Below are 23,250 nucleotides of genomic sequence, written 5' to 3' on the forward strand. Positions count from 1 at the left end.
GCACTTTAGGAGGCTGAGGAGGGAGGACCACTTGAGCTCAGGAATTCGAGACCAGCCTGGGTAATATGGCAAAAACCTGTTTCTATAAAAATACAAAAATTAGACAGGCATGGTGGGATGTGCCTGTAGTCCCAGCTACTCAAGGGGGGTGGGGTGTGGGTTGGGGTTGAGGGGGGAAGATCGCTTGAATCCAGGGTATCAGGCCACTCACTACACGCCAGCCTAGGCAACAGAGCGAGACCTTGCCTCAAAAAAAAAAAAAAAAGCACCAAAAAAACTCATAAAAAACAAAAAGAAAAAAAAAACCCCAACTAGGGTTATCTATACTATGATTCACTGCACAGGGAGACTCAACCATTGGCCAGTTCCAGGTACCTCTCCTTACTGTGTGCTCTACAGTTTCAAGTACTCAACCTTGAAAGACACCAGAAAAAAAGGCCTGGGAAAACATGTTGCATGTGTGAGTGAAAGAGAGAGTAACATACATGTACAAGTGAATGTATATGTATATGGGGGAGCTGGGGGAAGTGGTACAGATACAGCAAGAATGCAGAGACTTACCACATGAAGATAATTTGCTTTCTGACACAAGAAAAGCTAGGCCCATGTTTTTGGATGTAATAAAAGCTGGGACTCCACAATAAATACATCCTAAAACTCCTGGAATTATCTGACAAAAAGACTATTTTTCTCCTCCTAAGACGGCCATGAAGATTAGAATGAAGGTATATATTAACTCACTTCCATTTGGCCTATCAGCTCTCTAGTGCCCCCTTTATCTAGAAATGACCATTTTTTCTCTTAAGAGTAAGAACTACGATTCTCTGTAGGCTAAGCAGTTTTTGAGGCACCTGGTTTCATTTGGAAATAAAATGAATTTATGGTCAAACTCGATGATATATCTTCTTTTAAGAATCTTTAGGATGAAAAACACCCTCCTCTCATTGGAATTCATTCCATTTTCACAGGCTTTATGAGACGACCCTATCCCTGGAGGCAGCTGAACTGAGCCATACCTCCGTCTAGCACTCATATCCACAGGCTCATCATTGATGTTTTCTTTGCCTGGCCTTCCAGCAGTCCTGTTGTCTCCATGAGGCCTGAGATTCCCGTTAAGTTTTTCTTCATAGCCCTTGACACCACTGCCATCCTGTTTGGTGGGTAACTCATGTGGCACCTCAAGATTTGCCAAATCCTTCCTTTTGAGCAATGCCAACATTTTCAGACGTTCCATGGCCTCATGCCCCTCCATTTTGAGTCGCTTTGCCAGGACATCATCTCGCTCATCTGCTGGGTCCAAGCTCCGCTTCAACAGATTCAAGCGAAGAGCATCTTCTGTCATTCTATCCATCCTATGGAAAGAAAAATACAAGTAAGATCAGAATAAAGTCCCTTAAATAGTCCATTTTTAAAAAGGTGGAATGGTGAAGTTATTAACAAGAATCTCTCTCTCACACATACACACACACACACACACACACACACACACACACACAAAGTTCAAAGTTAACTAAGCTATGTCCTACCTGATATTGTCCTAGAACATTTATATTAAAGGAGATTTCTGGGCATTCAACCCAGCAATTTAAGTAAACTTAAATCTACATAAGCAAGGCCTGTTGACACGTGCCCTTAATTCTACATGGATACAGATTGAAAATCTTTTTTTTTTTTTGGCTTTTATTTTATGTTCAAGGGTACATGTGCAGGTTTGTTATATAGGTAAACTGCATGTCACCAGGGTTAGCAGATTCAAAATCTGAAGACATTTAAGATGCTTTTTAAAATGAAGAACTCAGGTGCTTAGCCTGATAAGAAGCACTATTTTTTTCTTTACTCATGAAGAAAAAGTGTTAACGACAAGCTAATTAATCATTATCTTCCCTTTTCACTTTGATTTTTTTTACACTAACAAAATCTAAATGTAGGCCGGACATGGTGGCTCAACTTGTATTGTCAGCTCCTCCAGAGGCTGAGGTGGGAGGATGGCTTGAGCCCAGGAGTTCAAGACCAGCCTGGGCAAAATGGTGAGACCCCATCTCTACAAAAAAATTAAAAATTTGTCAGGCATGGTGGCACATGCCTGTAGTCCCAGCTACTTGGGAGGCTAAGGTGGGAGGATTGCTTGAGCCCAGGAGGTTGAGGCTGCACTGAGCCTGATCGTACCACTGAACTCCAGCTAGGGCGATACAGCGAGGCTCTCTCTCCAGGAAACAACAAAAAAAAAATCTAAATGCAAATTCAGATTTAGATTTTCTCCAACACTTTCAAATCCAGGTTTGTTGTCCTGGTAGGAAACAGCAAAGATAAAATAGTAAGAAAATCTTTTAAGTCAAAGAAACACAGTTTAAAATTGCTACTTATGTTAACCAGGTCAAATATTTAGTAAGTTATTTTACCTTCCCAAGTTTCAATTTCATTTGTAAAAATGGAGTACTTAAAATTTTTTTCTATTCCAGGGCTGGGCGTGGTGGCTCACACCTATAATCCCAGCATTTTGGGAGGCCGAGGAGGGTGGATCACGAGGTCAGGAGTTCAAGACCAGCCTGGCTAAGATGGTGAAACCCCATCTCTACTAAAAATATAAAAACTTAGCTGGGCGTGGTGGCGGGCGCCTGTAATCCCTGCTACTTGGGAAGCTGAGGCAAAGAATTGCTTGAACCCAGAAGGCAGAGGCTGCAGTGAGCTGAGATCTCGCCACTGCACTCCAGCCTGGGCGACAGAGTGAGACTCCATCTCAAAGAATCAACGAATGAATGAATGAATTAAATTAAAAAGATTCTTTTCCAGTTGCAATGAAAAATAAATAAAACGAAACAGGGGCCGGGTGCAGTGGCTCACGCTTGTAATCCCAGCACTTTGGGAGGCTGAGGTGGGTAGATCACTTGAGATCAGGAGTTCGAGACCAGCCTGGCCAACATGGTGAAACCCTGTCTGCACTAAAAATACTAAAATTAGGCATGGTGGAGCTTTCATGTAGTCCCAGCTACCTGAGAGGCTGAGGCATGAGAATCACTTGAACCTGCAAGGTGGAGGTTGCAGTGTGCCAAGATCACACCACTGCATTCCAGCCTGGGTGACAGAGTGAAACTGTCTCAAAACAAAAACAAAACAAGACCAAAAAATGAAACACACACCCTTTATTATATTTGTATTTATGTATTTATTTGAGATGGACTCTTGTTCTGTTGCCAGGCTGGAGTGGAGTGGTGAGATCTCAGCTCACTGCAACCTCTGCCTCCCAGGTTCAAAGCAATTCTCCTGCCTCAGCCTCCCAAGTAGCTGGGACTATGGGTGTGTGCCACCACGTCCAGCTAATTTTTGTATTTTTAGTAGAGACAGGGTTTCACCATGTTGGCCAGGATGGTCTCAATCTCTTGACCTTGTGATCTGTCTGCCTCGGCCTCCTGAAGTGCTGGGATCACAGGCATTAGCCACTGTGCCCGGCCTGTTTTTATTTTTATTTTATTTTATTTTATTTATTTATTTTTTTTTTTGAGACAGAGTCTCGCTCTGTCGCCCAGGCTGGAGTGCAGTGGCGGGATCTCGGCTCACTGCAAGCTCCGCCTCCCGGGTTCACGCCATTCTCCTGCCTCAGCCTCCCAAGTAGCTGGGACTACAGGCGCCCGCCACTACGCCCGGCTAATTTTTTGTATTTTTAGTAGAGACGGGGTTTCACTGTTTTAGCCGGGATGGTCTCGATCTCCTGACCTCGTGATCCGCCCGCCTCGGCCTCCCAAAGTGCTGGGATTACAGGCGTGAGCCACCGCGCCCGGCCTTTTTATTTTTATTTTTGAGAGACAGGGTCTCACTCTATCACCCAGGCTAGGGTGCAAGTGGCACAATCATAGCTTATTGCAGCTTCAAACTCTAGGGCTCCAACAATCCTCCACACCTCAGCCTCCTGAGTAGCTAGAGACGCGTGCCACCACACTGGGCTAATTTTTTAGTTTTTTGTAGGACAAGGTCTCACTATGTTGCCCAGGCTGGTCTGGAACTCCTGGGCTCAAATGATCCTCCTGCGTCAGCCTCTCAAAGCACTTGGGATTATAGGCAGAAATACACCTTTTAGAGATAAAAGTCACAACCCAAACTTCTGAATTTTGGGTTAATGCTTCTTAATTCCCTCCCTTTTTAAAGAATAGCTTTAGCAGCCATAAAAAAAGAATGAGTTCATGTCCTTTGCAGTTTAAATGGATGAAGCTGGAACCCATCAATCTCAGCAAACTAACAAAGGAACAGAAAACCAAACACTGCCTGTTTTCACTCGTAAGTGGGAGTTGAACAATGAGAACACATGGACACAGGAAGGGGGAACATCACACACCTGGGTCTGTTGGGGGGTAGGAGGCAAAAGGAAGGAGAGCATTAGGACAAATATCTAATACATGTGGGGCTTAAAACCTAGATGACGGGTTGATAGCTGCTGCAAACCACCATGGCACATGTATACCTATGTAATAAACCTTCAGGTTCTGTGCATGTATCCCAGAACTTAAAGTAAAATAATAAAAAAAAAAGAATAGCTTTACTGAGATATAATTCACATATCATACAATTCACCTATGTAAAGTGTACAATTCAATGATGTTTAGTATATTCAGAGCTGTGCAACTATCATTATAATCAACTTTAGAACATTTTTATCACACTTCACCTCCCAATTTACCTCTGAAAAATATCTTCAGATGGAGGGACTAGAAAGTGGAGTGCTATAGACCACTACCCTAACTCTATAGTTAACAATGTCTTTAGTAGTTCAATCAACACTATATAAGTGAGAGCAGTAACTGGACATACCATGGTAAGTTGGGCAGAGTAGGAAAAGTCTGCCACTCAACTGATTATACGCCTAGACGCAAAAAGTACAGCCATGCCTCATTTTATTGCATTTCACTTTATTGTGCTTTGCAGATACTTTGTTAAAGGAAAACAAGGCCAGGCACAGTGGCTCACGCCTGTAATCTCAGCACTTTGGGAAGCCAAGGCGGGCTGATCACTTGAGGTCAGGAGTTCGAGACCAGCCTGGCCAACATGGTGAAACCCCGTCTCTACTAAAAATACAAAAATTAGTCGGGTGTTGTGGCACATGCCTGTAATCCCAGCTATTTGGGAGGCTGAGGCAGGAGGATCACTTGAACCCGGGAGGCAGAGGTTTCAGTGAGCCAAGATCGCACCACTGCACTCCAGCCTAGGCGACAAGAGCAAGACTCCATCTCAAAAAAAAAAAAGTTAGCCAAGTTGTGAATGCAAAGGAAAAGTTCCTGAAGGAAATTAAAAGTGCTATTCCAATGCACACACAAATAATGGCAAAGTGCAAAGGCCTTACTGGCAATATGGAGAAAGTTTTAGTGCACTGGCAAGATCAAACCAGCCACAGCATTCCTTTAAGCCAAAGCGTAATTCAGAATCAGGCCCTAACTCTCTTCAATTCTGTGAAGGCTGGGAGAAATGAGGAAGCTGCAAAAGAAAAGCTGGAAACTAGCAGAGGCTGGTTCATGAGGTTTAAGAAGTCACGCCATAACACCAAAGTACAAGGTACAGCAGTAGCCAAGTCCTGATGTAGAAGCTAACGCAAGTTATCCATAAGATCTAGCTGAGATAACCCACAAAAGTGACACATTAACAGTACATTTTTTTCCCTTTTTAAAATTTTCTAATTTTTATTTTAGATTTAAGGGATACATGTGTAGATTTATTAAATGGATATACTGCATAATGCTGGGGTTTGGGCTTCTATTGAACTCATCACCCAAATAGCTAACATAGTACCCAATGGGTAGTTTTTCAACCCTTATCTCCCACTCCATTCCTCCCCTTTTTGGAGTACTCAGTGTCTACTGTTTTCATCTATAAGCCCATGTGAACAGCACATTTTCAATGTAGATAAAATAGCCTTCTACTAGAAGACTTTCATAGAGAGATGTCAATACCAGGCTCCAAAGCTTCAAAAGACAGGCTGACTCTCTTGTTAGAGGCTAATATGGCTGGTGACTTTAAATTGAAGTCAGTGATCATTTACCATTCCAACAATTCTAAGGCCCTTAAGAATTATGTTAAATAAACTGGGCATAGTAGTGCACACCAGTAGTCTCGGCTATGTGGGAGGCTAAGGCAGCAGAGTTGCCTGAGCTCAGGATTTTGAGGCTGTAGAGCACTATGATTGCACCTGTGAATAGCCACTGCACTCCAGCCTGGACAACATAGCAAGACTCCATCACTTAGAAAAAAGGTAAGAATTAGGCTAAATCTACTCTGCCTGCACTCTCTCAATGGAACAACGACGTCTGGATGACAGCACATCTGTTTACAGTATGGTTTACTGAATATTTTAAGCTCATGGCTGAGATCTACTGCTCAGAAAAAAGATCCCTTTCAAAATATTACTGCTCATTGACAATGCACCCAGTCACCAAGAGCTCTGATGGAGATGAACAAGGAGATTAATGTTGTTTTCATGTGGCTAACACATCCACTCTACAGACCATGAATCAAGGAGTAATTTTAACTTTCAAGTCTTACTATGTAAGAAATATTGCTGGGCATGGGGGCTCACGCCTGTAATCCCAGCACTTTGGGAAGCCGAGGCAGGTGGATCACCTAAGGTCAAGAGTTCGAGACCAGTCTGACCAACATGGTGAAACCCCGTCTCTACTAAAAATACAAAATTAGGCTTGGCAGCACATGCCCGTAATCCCAGCTACATGGGAGGGTGAGGCAGGAGAATAGCCTGAACCTGGGAGGGGGAGGTGGCAGTGAGCCAAGATCATGCCACTGCGCTCCAGCCTGGGCAACGAGAGCAAAACTCAGTCTCCAAAAAAAAAAAAAAAAAAAAGAAAAAAGAAATATTAATATATTTCAGGCCAAGCATGGTGGCTCACAAAAGTAATTCCAGTGCTTTCGAGGCCAACGTGGGAGGATCACTTGAGCCCAGGAGTTTGAGACTGGCCTGGGCAACACAGTAAGACCCTGTCTCTCTCTCTTTTTTTTTATGTTTTTTTTTGGTTGTTTTTTGTTTGTTTTTGAGACAGAGTCTCACTCTGTTGCCCAGTCTGGAGTGCAGTGGCACAACCTCAGTTCACTGCAACCTCCACCTCCTGGGTTCATGCCATTCTCCTGCCTCAGCCTTCCGTGCAGCTGGGATTACAAACGCCCACCACCACGCCCAGCTAATTTTTTGTATTTTTGCTATAGAGATGGGGTTTCACCGTGTCAGCCAGGATGGTCTCGAACTCCTGACCTCGTGATCCGCCCACCTCAGCCTCCCAAAGTGCTGGGATTACAGGCATGACCACCACGCCCAGCCAAGACCCTGTCTCTATAAAAATAAAAATTTAAAAAACCTCCTGGAAATTATTTACCATTGCAGGAGGAAGTAAAACTATTAACATTTTTCTTTTCTTTTTCTTTTTTTTAAGACGGAGTTTTGCTCTTGTTGCCCAGGCTGGAGTGCAATGGTGCGATCTCAGCTCACCTCCACCTTCCAGGTTCAAGCAATTCTCCTGCCTCAGTCTCCCGAGTAGCTGGGATTACAGGCATGTGCCACCCCAGGCCCAGCTAATTTTGTATTTTTAGTAGAGAAAGGGTTTCTCCATGTTGGTCAGGCTGGTCTCGCACTCCCGACCTCAGGTGATCTGCCTGCCTCGGCTTCCCAAATTGCTGGGATTACAGGCATGAGCCACCACGCCCGGCCTAAAACTATCAACACTAACAGGAATTTGAAAGAAGTTGATTATAACTTTCATACATGACCTTTGACAGGTTCAAGGTTTCAATGGAGGAAATGACTGCAAAAGTGGTAGAAACAGCAAGAAAACTACAATTAGAAGGGAGCCTGGGCAAGGCACAGCTGGGATCCCAGCACTGTAATCCCAGCACTTTGGGAGGCTGAGACAGGAGGATCACTTGAGCCCAGGAGTTCGAGACCAACCTGGACAACAAAGTGAGACCCTATCTCTACAGAAAATAAAAAAAAAAATTAGTTGGGCACGGTGGCATGCACCTCACTCAGGAGAGTGAGGTGAGGGGATCGCATGAGCCCAGGAGTTTGAGGCTACAATGAGCTACGATCATGCCACTGCACTCCAGCTTGGGTGACAGACCACAACTGAGTCTCTTTAAAAAACAAACAAAAAACAAAAATTTGAATGGATAAGGAGTTGCTTCTTATGGATGAGCAAAGAAAGTGGTTTCTTGAGATGGAATCTACTCCTGGTAAGATGCTGTGAACACTGTTGAAATGACACCAGAAGATTTAGAATATTCCATAAACTTGAGTTGACAAAGCAGCAGGGTTTGAAAGAAATGACACCAATGTTGAAAGCAGTTCTACTGTGGATAAAATGGTATTAAACAGTACCGCATGCTATATGAAAATCTTTCATGAAAGGAGAGTCAATCCATGTGGCAAACTTCATCATCTTATTTTAAGAAACTGCCAGGTTGGGCAGGCGCAGTGGCTCATGCCTGTAATCTCAAAAAAAAAAAAAAATTGCCAGGTTACCCCAACCTTCAGCAACCACCACACTAATGGGTGAGCAGTCATCCACATGGAGGCAAGACACTCTACCAGCTAAAAGATAATGACTTGCTGAAGGCTCAGATGATTGTTAGTACTTTTTAGCAAGAAAGTGTTTTTTATTTAAGATGTATTCATTGTTTTCTTAGACATAATCCTATTGCACTTAATAGACTACAGCATAATGTAAACATAACTTTTATTTTATTATTATTATTATTTTTTTGAGACAGACTCTTGCTCTGTCGTCCAGGCTGGAGTGGAGTGGCGTGATCTCGGTTCATTACAACCTCTGCCTCCTGAGTTCAAGCGATTCTACTGCCTCAGCCTCCTGAGTAGCTGGGATTACAGGCGCGTACCACCATGCCCAGCTACTTTTTGTATTTTTAGTAGAGACAAGGTTTCACCATGTTGACCAGGCTGGTCTCAAACTCCTGACTTCAAGCAATCCTCCCGCCTCAGCCTTCCAGAGTGCTTGGATTACAGGCGTGAGCCACTGCGTCTGGCCTAAACATAACTTTTATATACACTGGGAAACCAAAAAATTTGTGTGACTTGCTTTATTGCAATATTTGCTTTATTGTGGTGGTCTGGAATGGAACATACAAAATCTCTGAGGTATGTCTATACTTTAGAAAAGTACACAGTAAGGCAGTGGCTTGTGTGTGTAATCCCAGTGACACAAGAGGATCATTGGAGGCTGAGAGTTTGAGACCATCCTGGGAGACTCATCTCTAAAAAAAAATTTGTTTTTTTTTTTTTTTTTTTAGACAGTCTGTCACCCAGGCTGGAGTGCAGTGGCACAGCCTCGGCTCACTGCAAGCCTCCCAGGTTCAAGTGATTCTCATGCCTCAGCCTTCCAAGTAGCTGAGATTACAGGTGTTCGCCACCATACTCGGCTAATTTTTGTATTTTTAGTAGAGACGAGGTTTCTCCATGTTGGCCAGGCTAGTCTTGAACTCCTGACCTCAAGTGATCCGCCCACCTTGGCCTCCCAAAGTGCTGGGATTACAGGCGTGAGCCACTGCACCCAGCCTAAAAAAGTTAAAAAAAAAAGGCATGGTGACTGAAGTGGGAAGATCATTTGAGCCCAGGAGTTTGAGGCTGCAGTGAGCTATGATTGCGCCACTCTACTCCAGCCTGGGTGACAGAGCAAGACCCTGTCTCTTAAGTACACATAGCAAGATATACACATTTAAGTTGATATACTACAGTATTCTAAGTTTTGAGATATATTCACGTGCACTGATAGTATATGACAAAACAACAAAATTCAATAACCTAGAGCTAGAGTTTGGGGTGCCATCATTACCTTGGCTCCTTGAATTGACAATTATACAAACAGCTGAAAGTAAGTCAAATAATTTCCCCTTACTATACATTAATGATTCAAGAAAGAAACTGACCCATCAGAGGTTGTGAGAAACCAGAACCCAGATACCTGAATGTCTGAGGTAAGTCTTTCCTAATAGATAGCTTGAGAATTCTGACCAATCTATCCACGGCTACTCTTTGTCTTTACTAATCTATAAACCTCAACTTTATGCACTCACAACCATGCCTCCCTCAAAATCCAATGTAAAATGGACGAACTTTGAAAACATTATGCGAGTAAAATAAACCAGACACAAAAGGATAAATATTGTATGGTTCCACATATATGAGGTACCTAGAGATAGAAAGTATAATAGAGGGCTGAGCATGGTGGCAAGTGCCTATAATTCTAGCTACTTGGGAGGCTGGTGTGGGAGGAATGCTTGAGTGTCAGGAGTTGAAGACTAGCCTAGGCAACAGAGTAAGATGCCCTTATCTCAAAAACAACAACAACAAAAACAAACAAAAAACCCCAAAAACAAAACAAACAAAAAAAAAAACACAGTAGAATAGAGGTTTCCAGCTAAGGTAGGGGTGGGGAGTGAGGGGTGATTGTTTAATGGGAACAGAGTCTCTGGGATGAAGAAAAAGTTCTGCAAGTAGATAGTGGTGATGGTTGCAAAACAATGTGAATGTACTTAAATCCACTGAATTATATACTTACAAATGGTTAAGATGGTAAATTTCATGTTACATATATTTTACCACAACAAAATTGCAAAAACAAAATCCAACATAACTGATTACGGAAGGGTACACGTGATCTTTTTAGGGTGATCGGAAATGTTCTTCTAAAACAGACTGTTGTGATGGTTGCACAACTTTGTAAATATACTAAAAAAAAATTCTACAGTTAAATTATGTCCCCTATTATAAAACTGTAAAAATAATATTCACTGAAAACTTATCACATAAATATTCCTCTGCAAAAAAAAGAAAATTTTGTAAAATGAATGTTGCATATTGCCTTTTAATGCCTAACCAATCTTTTTTTGTTTCTTCTGTGATCCTAATAATAACAAATACTATTTCTTAACCACCCACTTAAATCCAAACATGCTATTGGACACTTTATCACGTATTCTTACTTATATATTTTTTTTCTCCATTCCAGTTGGAGAAGAAACTTACTTAAATCTTTTCAACAAGCTACTAAGTAGGTAGTATTGTTTCTACTTCACAGGTGGGAAGAGATGTATCCCAACTGCAAAGCTTTAGAAAGTAAATCTGGAATTACAACACAGGTCTAGCTCATTTCCAAAATCTATTACACAGTACAACACCCTTCTCAGAGCCAGACATCTTAAGAAGCAAGTACTGTGTATTCATGTATCTGCACATCTATCCATCCATCCACCCCACAAATATTAATCATACACTATGTGTCAAAGTCAGACATTAGGAGTAAAGATTTTTGGAAAACGACTAGATTACTGTTTTCCAGAATTTCATTCCAATAGAAAGATGTGCATATAACAAAAATACATAATTGGATGTTTACATGAACTCATTTTCTCTGCCTTTTTTTTTGTTTTGAGATGGAGTTTTTGCTCTGTTGCCCAGGCTGGAGTGCAATGGCACAATCTCAGCTCACTGCAAAGAGACGCGCCCTGCCTCTTTTTTTTTCCCCCTTTTTTGAGTCTCACTCTGTCATCCAGTCTGGAGTACAGTGGTGCAATCATGGCTCACTGAAGCCTGGGCCCCCGGGTTCAAGCGACTCTCATGCCTCGGCCTCCTGAGTAGCTGGAACTACAGATGCGAGCCACCATGTGCATATTTTCTCTTTTACATTCAGAGGAAGAAAATAGAATTGATAGGAGTTGGTGACTTAGATTTGGGGTCAGAGAAAAGGATTATTTCCTGGCTTCAGCTTTTGCCTTTGGGTGAATTTTCTCTTTACTGAAATGTGAGGATGAAAAGCAGTATATAAGAAGGCAGAGGCTGGACACAGTGGCTCACGCCTGTAATCCTAACACTTTGGGAGGCCAAGGATGGCAGATCATTTGAGGCTGGGAGTTCGAGATCAGCCTGGCCAGCATGGCAAAAGCTTGTCTCTACTAAAAATACAAAAATTGCCGGGTGTGGTGGTGCATGCCTGTAATCCCAGCTACTCAGGTGGCTGAGGCATGAGAATCACTTGAACCTGGGAGGCAGAGGTTGCAGTGAACTGAGATCAGGTCACTTCACTCCAGCCTGGGTGACAGAACGAGACCCTGTCTCAAAAAAAAAAAAAAAAAAAAAAAAAAGAAAGTTTAAGGAAGAGAGTAGTTGTGTCAAACAACTAGAGCAGAAAAAGAAAAATGTCCAACTTTAAACTTGCTGTTGGACTCCTATAAGAAACAAGAATGCCAAATGAAATAGCTCTACATTCATGCTTGTAAAGTTTCTGACAACATTAAACCAAAACCTGGATTTGCAGCAAAGACTTAAGAGGATCCTGAGAGGCAGACAGAGGATAGGGGAATGAAGAGGGTGAACAAAATAAATTAACATATATAGGAGTACCTGGTCTTCACAAGGCAATGTACAAGGCCCTTTATATTTGTTCTTTGTTCTTCCATCACATCAGAGAACAGAAAAATCTAAATTGTTAGCTAGGTTGGAAAACCTCTAATTCTCAAAAATGATGAAAGTGAAGCCTATAGTTATATAATGTAACTTAAAAGTTTAAAGTAGTAATAGTCTAAAAGATCATAAGATGGTTATGTTACTTATGAAAAGTTATCAGTATTTATAATGAAGGAGACAACAGTCCTAGTATTTAACACATAAAAAGTAAGTTTAAAAAACTGTTTTGAAGGCTGGGTGCAGTGGCTCACACCTGTAATCCCAGCATTTTGGGAGGCCAAAGCAGGCAGATCACTTGAGGTTAGGAGTTTGAAACCAGCCTGACTAACATGGTGAGACCCCATCTCTACTAAAAACACAAAAAATTAGCTGGGCTGGTGGCAGGTGCGTGCCTGTAATCCCAGCTGGTTGGGAGGCTGAGGCAGGAGAATCACTTGAACCTGGGAGGCAGAGGTTGCAGTGAGCTGAGATCATGCCATTGCACCCTAGACCTGGCGACAAAGCGAGATTCTGTCTCAAACAAAAAGCTGTTTTGGTTTTAAAATCCTAAGTAGAAATGAAAATACTTTCTTTTTTTTTTTTTTTTTTTTTTTGAGACGGAGTCTCACTCTTGTTGCCCAGGCTGGAGTGCAATGGCACGATCTTGTCTCACTGCTACCTCCGCCTCCCAGGTTCAAGCGATTCTCCTGCCTCAGCCTCCTGAGTAGCTGGGATTACAGGCACCTGCCATCACGCCCGGCTAATTTTTTGTATTTTTAGTAGAGACGGGGGTTTCACCATGTTGTCCAGGCTGGTCTTGAACTCCTGACCTCAGGTGATCCACCTGCCTCGGCCTCCCAAAGTGCTGGGGTTACAGGCATGAGCCACTGCGCCCTGCTGAAAATACTTATTTTTTTTTTAGGTGGAGTTTTGCTCTTGTTGCCCAGGCTGGAGTGCAATGGCGCGATCTCGGCTCACCGCAACCTCCGCCTCCTGGGTTCAAGCAATTCTCCTGCCTCAGCCTCCCGAGTAGCTAGGATTACAGGCATGCGCCACCACGCCTAGCTAATTTTGTATTTTTAGTAGAGACAGGGTTTCTCTGTGTTGGTGAAGCTGGTCTCGAACTCCCGACCTCAGGTGATCCACCCGCCTCAGCCTCCCAAAGTGCTGAGACTACAGGTGTGAGCCACTGGGCCCAGCCGAAAATACATTCTTAAAAAAATACTTTCATAAGTTCTAGTTTATCTTTTTAAAATCTAAAAACTTTGAAGTAAATATTAATAAGCAGAAAATTTTCATTTTTATGTTTCCACTATTTTTTCTGATTTGTCTCAAATGGTCACAGAGAATTTTACTGTGCACACTGAAGAGATTGTTCTTATTATAAAATATTTCAAAGATGGAGATAGGCCGGGCACGGTGGCTCACGCCTGTAATCCCAGCACTCTGGGAGGCCGAGGAGAGCGGATCATGTGGTCAGGCGATCAAGACCATCCTGGCTGACACGGTGAAACCCCGTCTCTACTAAAAATAGAAAAAGTTAGCCGGGCGTGGTGGCATGTGCCTGTAGTCTGAGCTACTCAGGAAGCTGAAGCAGGAGAATGGCGTGAACCCAGGAGGCCGAGGTTGCAGTGAACCGAGATCAGGCCACTGCACTCCAGCCTGGGTGACAGAGGAAGACTCCGTCTCAAAAAAAAAAAAAAAAAGAAAAAAAGAAAAAAAAAGATGGAGATAAAGAAGATCTCATGTACCCTTTATCTAGTTTCCCCCAATGGTAACATCTTGCAAAACTATAGTACCATATCACCAGCAGGATATCAACATTGATACAATAAGCAGATCTTCAGATTTCCCATTTTATTAGTATTCATTTGTATGTACTTAGTTCTACACAATTTTGTCACATTTGTAAGTTCATGTATCCATCATCACAGTTAAGAAACAGCACCGTTCCATCACCTCAAGGAGCCCTCGTGTTAACTGTTTTATAACAACATCTACCCTATCCCCTCCCATCTCCTGCCACATTCATTCCTAACTCCTAGAAGCCACTAATCTGTTCTCCATTTCTAAAATGTTTGCTTTTCAAACTATTATAAAGTTGGAATCATAGAGTATGTAACTTTTAGGACTGGCCTTTTTCACTTAGGATAATTTCACTGAGATTCATCGAAGTGGCTGCAAGTACCAACAGTTTATTCCTTTTTATTGCTGAGTAGTATTCCATGGTATGGATGTACCATGGTTTATTTACTCACTGAAGGACATCTGAGTTGTTTTCCGTTTTTGGCTATTAGGAATACAGCTGCTATGAACATTCATGGGAAAGTTTTTGTAGAAAAGTTTTCATTTATCTGGGATAAATGCCTAAGTGTGCAACTGCTGAGTCATATGGTAAGTGAATGTTCGGTTTTATAAGAAACTGCCAATCTGTTTTCCAGAGTAGCTATACCATCATATATTCCCAGATGCAATGTATGAGAAATCCAGGTTTTTCACACCCTCACCAGCATTTGGTGGTGTCATTTTTATTACTGTTATTTAATAGATGGGGTCTCACTATGTTACCCAGGCTGGAGTGCAGTGGCTATTCATAGGCACCATCTTAACAATCTGCAGCCTCAAATTCCTGGCCTCATTCCATCCTCCTACCTCAGCCACTAGAGGAGAAGCGACTTGAAGTGTGTGCCACTGCACCTGGCTGGTGTCATTATTTCTTACTTAAGCCATTTGGATAGGTGTGTGGTAATATTTCATTGTGGTTTCAATTTTCATTTCCCTAATGGCTAATGATGTTCTTTTTACATGTTTATTTGCCATCTGTAATTCTCTTCTGTGAAACTTCTGTTCATGTCTTTTGCTCATTTCCTAACCGAGCTCTTTGCTGTTCCTTTTTACTGTTGAGTTTTGAGAGTTCTTTATGTATTTTAGATACTAGTTGTTAGTCATCTATGTGGTCTCCTATTTTTAGTGAGACAAAACATTAGATAAATCTGAAGCACTGTGTAACTTCACTCTCAACCCTTTCTCGCCCTCTCTCCTCCTTCAGATGTTGTTTCCATTCTCATAAATATTAAATAAGTTTATTGCATATACATGTAATCATTAATAATATATAGCATAGTTTGTATATTTTTAGAAATTATCACTTCTGTACTGTTCTTCATTTTTCTTTCCAATATTGTTTTTGCTTTTGTTTTTTAAAATTTTATGTATGTATGTATGTATGTATGTATGAGATGGAGTTTCACTCGTTGCCCAGGCTGGAGTGCAATGGCACAATCTCGGCTCACTGCAGCCTCCGCCTCCCGGGTTCAAGCAATTCTCCTACCTCAACCTCCGGAGTAGCTGGGATTACAGGCGCCTGCCACCACTCCTGGCTAATTTTTTTGTATTTTTAGTAGAGACAGGGTTTCACCATGTTGGTCAGGGTGGTCTTAAACTCCTGACCTCAGGTGATCTGCCCGCCTCGGCCTCCCAAAGTGCTGGGATTACAGGCGTGAGCCACCTCGCCCAGCCTTTTTTTTTTTTTTTTTTGAGACAGAGTCTCGCTGTCGCCCAGGCTGGAGTGCAGTGGACCATGTCGGCTCACTGCAACCTCCGCTTCCTGGGCTCAAGTGATCCTCCCGCCTCAGCCTCCCAAGTAGCTAGGATTATAGGCTCACGCTGCCATGCCAGGCTAATTTTTGCCACTGTGCCTGGCATTTTTTTTTTTAAGAGACAGTATCTCACTCTGTTGCCCAGGCTGGAATGCAGTGGTGTGATCATGTCTCACTGTAACCTTGACCTCCTGGGCTCAAGCAATCCTCCCACCTCAGCCTCCCAAGCAGCTAGGACTACAGGTGCACACCACCACACTTGGCTAATATATGGGGTCTCACTATGTTACCCAGGCTGGAGTGCAGTGGCTATTCACAGGCACCATCTTAGCAATCTGCAGCCTCAAATTCCTGGCCTCATTGCACCCTCCTACCTCAGCCACTAGAGGAGAAGCGACATTTACAAAAAAAAAAGTTATTTGTAAAGATGGGGTTTTGTCATGTTGCCCAGGTTAGTCTTGAACTCCTGGCCTCACACGATCCTCCTGCCTTGGCTTCCCAAAGCACCAGGATTACAGGTATGAGGCACCATGCCCAGCCTTCAATTTTTTATATTTAAAATTTGTCCAAGTAACTGCATAAAGCTCTACTTCATTTGTTTTAACTGCTGTGTAGAATCCCACAGCAGGAATATACAATTAGTTATCCATTCTCCACCTCAACATTTAGGGATCAATTTGTTGATGTTAAAACCAATGCTGCAATTTCCACTTCTGGTCAAGATGATTCAACAGAGACCAGAGATTTACCCTCTCACCTAAAAGAACCACCACCACCACCAAAAAAAAAAAAAAAAAACCCAAACAAAAACCATAAAAACAAGGGTTTTGAAAACAATGGACATCAGGCAACAATGGACAGTGATCCCAGAGTGACAAGAAGCAAATGAAGTGAGCTCTACAACTGGCCTGGCTTATTGCCTTAAGAGAGTTTCCAGGACATGATGCAGGAGGGGAGGGAGATTGAGGCACAGCCTGAGAAACTCCTGAGTTGAAGAGATGGAGCAGAGAACATAATGAGATAATGGCAGCCAGATTTCAAAGGACAGAGTATCACAGCAGAGAAAGCTGCAGAGAAAGTCTCAGAAGCCCAGAGATCTGCAAAATGATCCCCTCAAATACTGAGGATATCAGAGTGCTGATCAGCACATGTGACTGAGGAAACTATCCAAGACTGGGGGAAAAAAAAACATATGAAAGGAATGGAGCAAGCACTACCCAGAACTCACATGGGGCCAGGAATAGTGCCTGTTCTTAGTAGCCAGATTAGAAAAACTCAATTTATGGGGTATCGGGTAGAGTGCACAGGAAAGTCCTACCTTAGCACTAGGGAATTTTTAGCCCTAAACTAAGTACTGCTTAGTTTAAGTACTGGCCTAACAAATTATAAAAAAAAAAAAAAAAAGCAAAGTTGACAAATACAATAACTGAATTGCAAATCAACCCTCAAGATTTATAGGAATAAAAATAATCCAGCACCCAAAAATATAAAATTCACAATATCTGGAATTTGATTAAAGATTAACAGGCTTGGAATACTATGCAGCCATAAAAAATGATGAGTTCATATCCTTTGTAGGGACATGGATGAAATTGGAAATCATCATTCTCAGTAAACTATCGCAAGAACAAAAAACCAAACACCGTATATTCTCACTCATAGGTGGGAATTGAACAATGAGATCACATGGACACACGAAAGGGAATACCACACTCTGGGGACTGTGGTGGGGTGGGGGGAGGGGGGAGGGATAGCATTGGGAGATATACCTAAGGCTAGATGACGAGTTAGTGGGTGCAGCCCACCAGCATGGCACATGTATACATATGTAACTAACCTGCACAATGTGCACATGTACCCTAAAACTTAAAGTATAATAAAAAAAAAAAAGATTAACAGGCTTGCAAAGAGGCAAGAAAACATGACCCCTAATGAGAAGAATAATCAATCAGAAGAAATCTATTTACCCAGAACTAATTCTGTTAGAATTAAAATGACTTTAAAACAGATATTAATATTGTAACTGCATTCCATATTTTCAAAAAGTTACGCAGAGAAATGGAAGATGTACAAAAAGACTCAAATCAAACTTCTAGAGATGAAAACCAGTGTCTGAGATGAAAACTACAATGGATATAACAATAGTGTGGTACTGGCTTAAAGACAGATATGTGATCAATGGAAAAAAACTCAGAAATACACCCTAATATTTACGGTCAATTGATTTTTCAACAAGGGTGCCAAGACAGTTCAATGAGAATTGCTCAAGCACAGGAGGCTGAGGCTGCAGTGAGCCTGATCAAGCCACTGAACTCCTGCCTGGACAACAGAGCCAGACCCTGTATCAGTAAAAAAAAGAAAAAAAAAAAAATTCCAGCCTATGCAAAATAGTGATAGCCTGTCTCTACCATTAATTTAAAACATTAGGCTGGGCGTGGTGGTGGCTCACACCTATAATCCCAGCACTTTGGGAGGCTGAGACGGGTGGATCCCATGAGCTCAGGAGTTCAAGACCAGCCTGGGCAACATGACAAAACCCCACATTTATAAAATATAAAAAATTAGCCAGGTGTGGTAGTGCACGCCTACAGTTCCAGCTACTTTGGCGGGGGGCTGCAAGGGGGGGTGAGGTGGGAGGACTGCTTGAGCCTGGGAGGTTGAGGCTGCAGTGAGCAATTGCACCACTGCACTCAAGCCTGGGTGACAGAGCAAGACTCTATCTCAAAAAAATAAATAAATAAATAAATAAAAATTACCAGGCATGGTGGCATGCGTCCACAGTTCCAGCTACTCAGGAAGCTGAGGTGGAAGGATTGTTTAAGCTCTGGTGTTTGAGACTGCAGTTTACCATGATTGCACCATTGTACTCCACTGGATAATAGAGCAAGACACTATCTCTATAAACTACCGCCCCCCCCCCGCCCCAAAACTGTTCCCTTAATAACTTTTTTTGCCTTAAAGTTTGTCTTATATTAGTATGGTGACATTAACTTTCTGGTTAATATTTACCTACAACATTTTTTTCGTTGTTAATTTCAATTTCTACACCTTTATGTTTTCGACAGTATTTATCTGAATTTGTTTTTCCATTAAACCATTTCTAAAAAACTGACTAGTTTACACTTCTCATGATCACTAACATATTTAGTTTTATTTCTACCATCTTCTGTTCTATTTACCTTGCTTGTTCTGTGCTTCCTTCTTGCTATGTTTGTTTTGAGACAGTCTCACTCTGTCACCCAGGCTGGGGTGCAGTGGTGTGAACCTGACTCACTGCAACCTCTGCCTCCGAGGTTCAAGTGATTCTTCTGCCTCAGCCTCCAAAGTAGCTGGGATTACAGGTGTGTGCCACCAGTGCCCAGCTAATCTTTTTGTATTTTTTTTGTAGAGATGGGGTTTCACCATATTGGCCACGCTGGACTCGAACTCCTGGCCTCAAGTGATCCTCCCATCTCAGCCTCCTAAAGTGCTAGGATTACAGGCATTAGCCACCGTGTCCAACCCCTTCTTGTTCTTTGCGTTCTTTTTTTTTTTTTTTTTTTTTTGAGATGGAGTCTCACTCTGTCGCCCAGGCTGGAATGCAGTCGCGCGATCTCGGCTCACTGCAATCTCCGCCTCCTGGGTTCAAGCAATTCTCTGCCTCAGCCTCCCGAGTAGCTGGGATTACAGGCATCCGCCACCACTCCTGGCTAATTTTTGTATTTTTAGTAGAGACGGGGTTTCACCAGGTTGGCCAGGCTGGTCTCGAACTTCTGACCTCGTGATCCACCTGCTGCGGCCTCCCCAAGTGCTGGGATTACAGGCGTGAGCCACCGCACCTGGCCCTTCTTGCTCTTTTATGCCTTCTATTAAATTCTTATTTTTTATTTCAGTCCTATCTCATTTTTAGTTCCAACGAATTAGTCATGATTAGTGTGTTACATACAGTCAAAGCTATTTTATTTTATTTTGACGGAGTATTGCTCTGTCACCCAGGTTGGAGTGCGATGGCACAATCTCCTGGCTCACTGCAACCTCTGCTTCCTGGTTTTAAGTGATTCTTGTGCCTCAGCCTCCCAAGTAACTGAGCCTACAGACGTGCACCACCACACCTGGCTAGTTTTTGTATTTTTAGTGGAGACAGGGTTTCGCCATGTTGGCCAGGCTGGTCTTGAACTCCTGGCCTCAAGTGATCCGCCTGCCTCAGCCTCCCAAAGTGCTGGGATTACAGGTCTGACCTACTGTGCCTGGCCTGGAACTTCTATTTTTAATGTCAGTATTTTTGCAACATTGTACTTAATTATTGTATTTAGTCCCTGACCTCTGAATGCTTACAGCTGAGAAACTAGACACACTTCTGTAGATAAGTAAAAAAGACCACATCTTTTTGAGATGGAGTCTCCCTCTATCACCCAGCCTGAAGCGCACTGGTAAAATCATAGCTTACTGCAGCCTCACTCCTGAACTCAAGTGATCCTCCTCTTTAGGCCTCCCAAAGCACTGAGATTACAGGCATGAATCACTGAGCCCGGCCTAATTTTCATTCCTTCACAGTAATCTATTTGGCTGCTTTCATAAGATCTTTGTCTTTAGTGTTATTCTTTCAGGATTCACTATTTTTTTTTTCCTTGAAGATTCATATACTTAGAAATTCTGTGAAATTTTCTGCTATTATCTCTTTGAATGTTGCTACTCTCCATTTTCTCTACCCTTCCCTAGAACTCCTATGAGATATATCTTGGACCATCTCATTCTACTGTCCATGTCTCATCTCTTTTTTTCATATTTTCCATTTTTAATATATCTATGCTGCATTCTGTGTAATTTCTATTGTTCCTAATTTTCAACTGTGTTGGATATACTGTTTAACTTATATAACGAGTTAATTTGACTGATCTGCTCCAAAGCAGATCAACTTTGGATGCATATTAGAATCATCTGAGTAACTGTAAAACAAACAAACATACTGATACCATGGTCCAATTCCCAAAGATTTGATTTAATCAGTCTGCCATTGAACTCATGCAGCTATCCTTTAATAAATTCCCCAGTTAGTTCTATTATTTAGCCAGTGTTGAGAATCATCCCCTCACCATACCAACTTGGTATAGTATTTCTTACACCTTAGAAAATTCTTCCCATGACTTCCTGTCGTATTCCAGTCACTGCCCCATGTCCCTGAACCCTTCTACAGCAAAATTCCTCAAGAGTTACCTATACTCATTGTCTCTTTCTTCTGGCTTAAAACCACTTCAGTTCAGGTTTTATTCCCTCAATATAAAGAGATTATTTTTTCCAGGTCACTAATTACCTTCATGTTGCCAAGTCCAATAATTATTTACCAATCCTTATCTTATTTGAACTTTCAGCAGCATTTTATCAACTCAATCTTCCTTCCTTCTTGAACTGCTTTCTTCACTTGGCTTTTGGGACTTCACATCTCTGGGTCTTATTCTACACTCATGATCCTTTATTCTTAGTCTTCACTAGTTTCTACTCATCTTTCCACCTTCTAACTGTAAAAATGAAGTGTTCCCATGGTTTTAAATAGCATTTATATACTAATTCTCAAATTGATATTCCTAGCTGTCATTCTCCTCCGAAACTCTCTTCATGTAGTCAATTGCCTAACATCTCCATTTGGGTGTTGTCTTAGTCCATTATGCATGGTGGCTAACGCCTGTACTTCAAGCACTTTGGGAGGCCGAGGCGGGTGGATCATGAGGTCAGGAGTTCAAGAACAGCCTGGTCAAGATGGTGAAACCCCGTCCCTACTGAAAGTACAAAAAAATTAGCCAGGTGTGGTGGTGGGTGCCTGTAATCCCAGCTACTCAGAAGGCTGAGGCAGAGAACTGCTTGAACCCGGGAGGCAGAGGTTGCAGTGAGCCAATATCGCGCCACTGCACTCTGGCCTGGGCAACAGCGAGACTCATCTCAAAACAAAGCAAAAAACAAACAAACCCCCCCCCTCCCCCAGACTGGGTAATTTATATAGGGGTATGTGGGTGTGTGTGTTCTGTTTTGTTTTGTTTAGAGATGGAGTCTCTCCATGTTGCCAAACTCCTTGAGCTCAAATGATCCTCCCACCTCAGCATCCCAGGTAGCTGGGGCTATGGGTGTATGTCACCGTACCCAGCTTTGGGCACTTTATAATGACCAGAAGTTTATTGGCTATTTATTGGCACACAGTTCCAGAAGTTGGGAAGCCTAACATCAAGGTACTGGCATGTGGTGAAGACCTTCTTGCCATCTAATAACATAGCAGATGGCAAAGAGAGGGTGCCCTTTTATAACAACATTAATCCCACCCATGAGGGTAAAGCCCTAACAACTTAATCACTTCTTAAAGGTCCCACTTCTTAATATTATTACAATGTCAATTAAATTTCAACATGAATTTTGGAGGGACAAACATTCACAAGATAGCAGATATCTAACAGGCATTTTATAATCTTATGTCCAAAATTGTTTCTTCCCCTACTGTTACACATCTTAGCAAATGACACCACTATTCAAACCAAACACTTGGAGTCATTCTTAGTTCCTCTTTCTCATACCCACATGCATTCTATCTGTAAACTCTATCAGCATTACCTTCCAAATATATTTTAAATTTGACCTTGTTTTTTCTTTTTTTGAGACAGTTTCACTCTTTCACCCAGGCTGCAGTACAGTGGCGTGATCTTGGCTCACTGCAACCCCCTCCTTCCGGTTTCAAGCGATTCTCCTGCCTCAGCCTCCTGAGTAGCTGGGATTACAGACATGTGCCACCTCACCCAGCTAATGTTTTGTATTTTTAGCAGAGGTTAGGTCTCACCATGTTGGCCAGGCTGGTCTTGAACTCCTGACCTCAGGTGATCCGCCTGGCTTGGCCTCCCAAAGTGCTGGGATTACAGGCATGAGCTACCATGCCTGGCTGTATTTAATCCTTTTAAATGCACTTATTCTATGGTCTATAGTCAATGAACTGGAGATCTAGTCCTGAGAGGTAGTGTATCTGTGACTCTTATTCATGGTAAATGAGCTGTTTTCTTATTTTTTGTCACTTTTGATTATGAGCCTTGTCACAATCAAGTGGGTTATTCAGTGGGATTTTATCTGTTAGAATCCTGTGTGGCTTAAACTGTGGATCTGTTCCTCCAGAGTAGCTTTACATATGCTTCCGCTGGTTACCCCAAGGGTATTATACAGGGTCCTGAATAATTTTTTTATATTCATTTCCCAGTTTGGGGA

The 23,250-nt window shown here is 42.3% G+C and overlaps 1 protein-coding gene across 3 annotated transcripts in view; it reads right to left on the reverse strand.

Moving 5' to 3' along the window:
* Window positions 1-23,250, reverse strand: part of GATAD2B (GATA zinc finger domain containing 2B) — a 118,248-nt gene that overhangs the window by 22,272 nt on the left and 72,726 nt on the right. For all 3 annotated transcript variants that reach the window (NM_020699.4, XM_047426115.1, XM_047426117.1), the window contains exon 2: window positions 1,017-1,352. In NM_020699.4, the coding sequence (NP_065750.1) occupies window positions 1,017-1,351 (335 nt within the window). In that variant the 5' untranslated portion in view covers window position 1,352. The remainder of the gene's footprint in view (window positions 1-1,016; window positions 1,353-23,250) is intronic.

This window comes from Homo sapiens, chromosome 1, assembly GCF_000001405.40.
Source record: "Homo sapiens chromosome 1, GRCh38.p14 Primary Assembly".
Taxonomy (NCBI): Eukaryota; Metazoa; Chordata; class Mammalia; order Primates; family Hominidae; genus Homo; species Homo sapiens.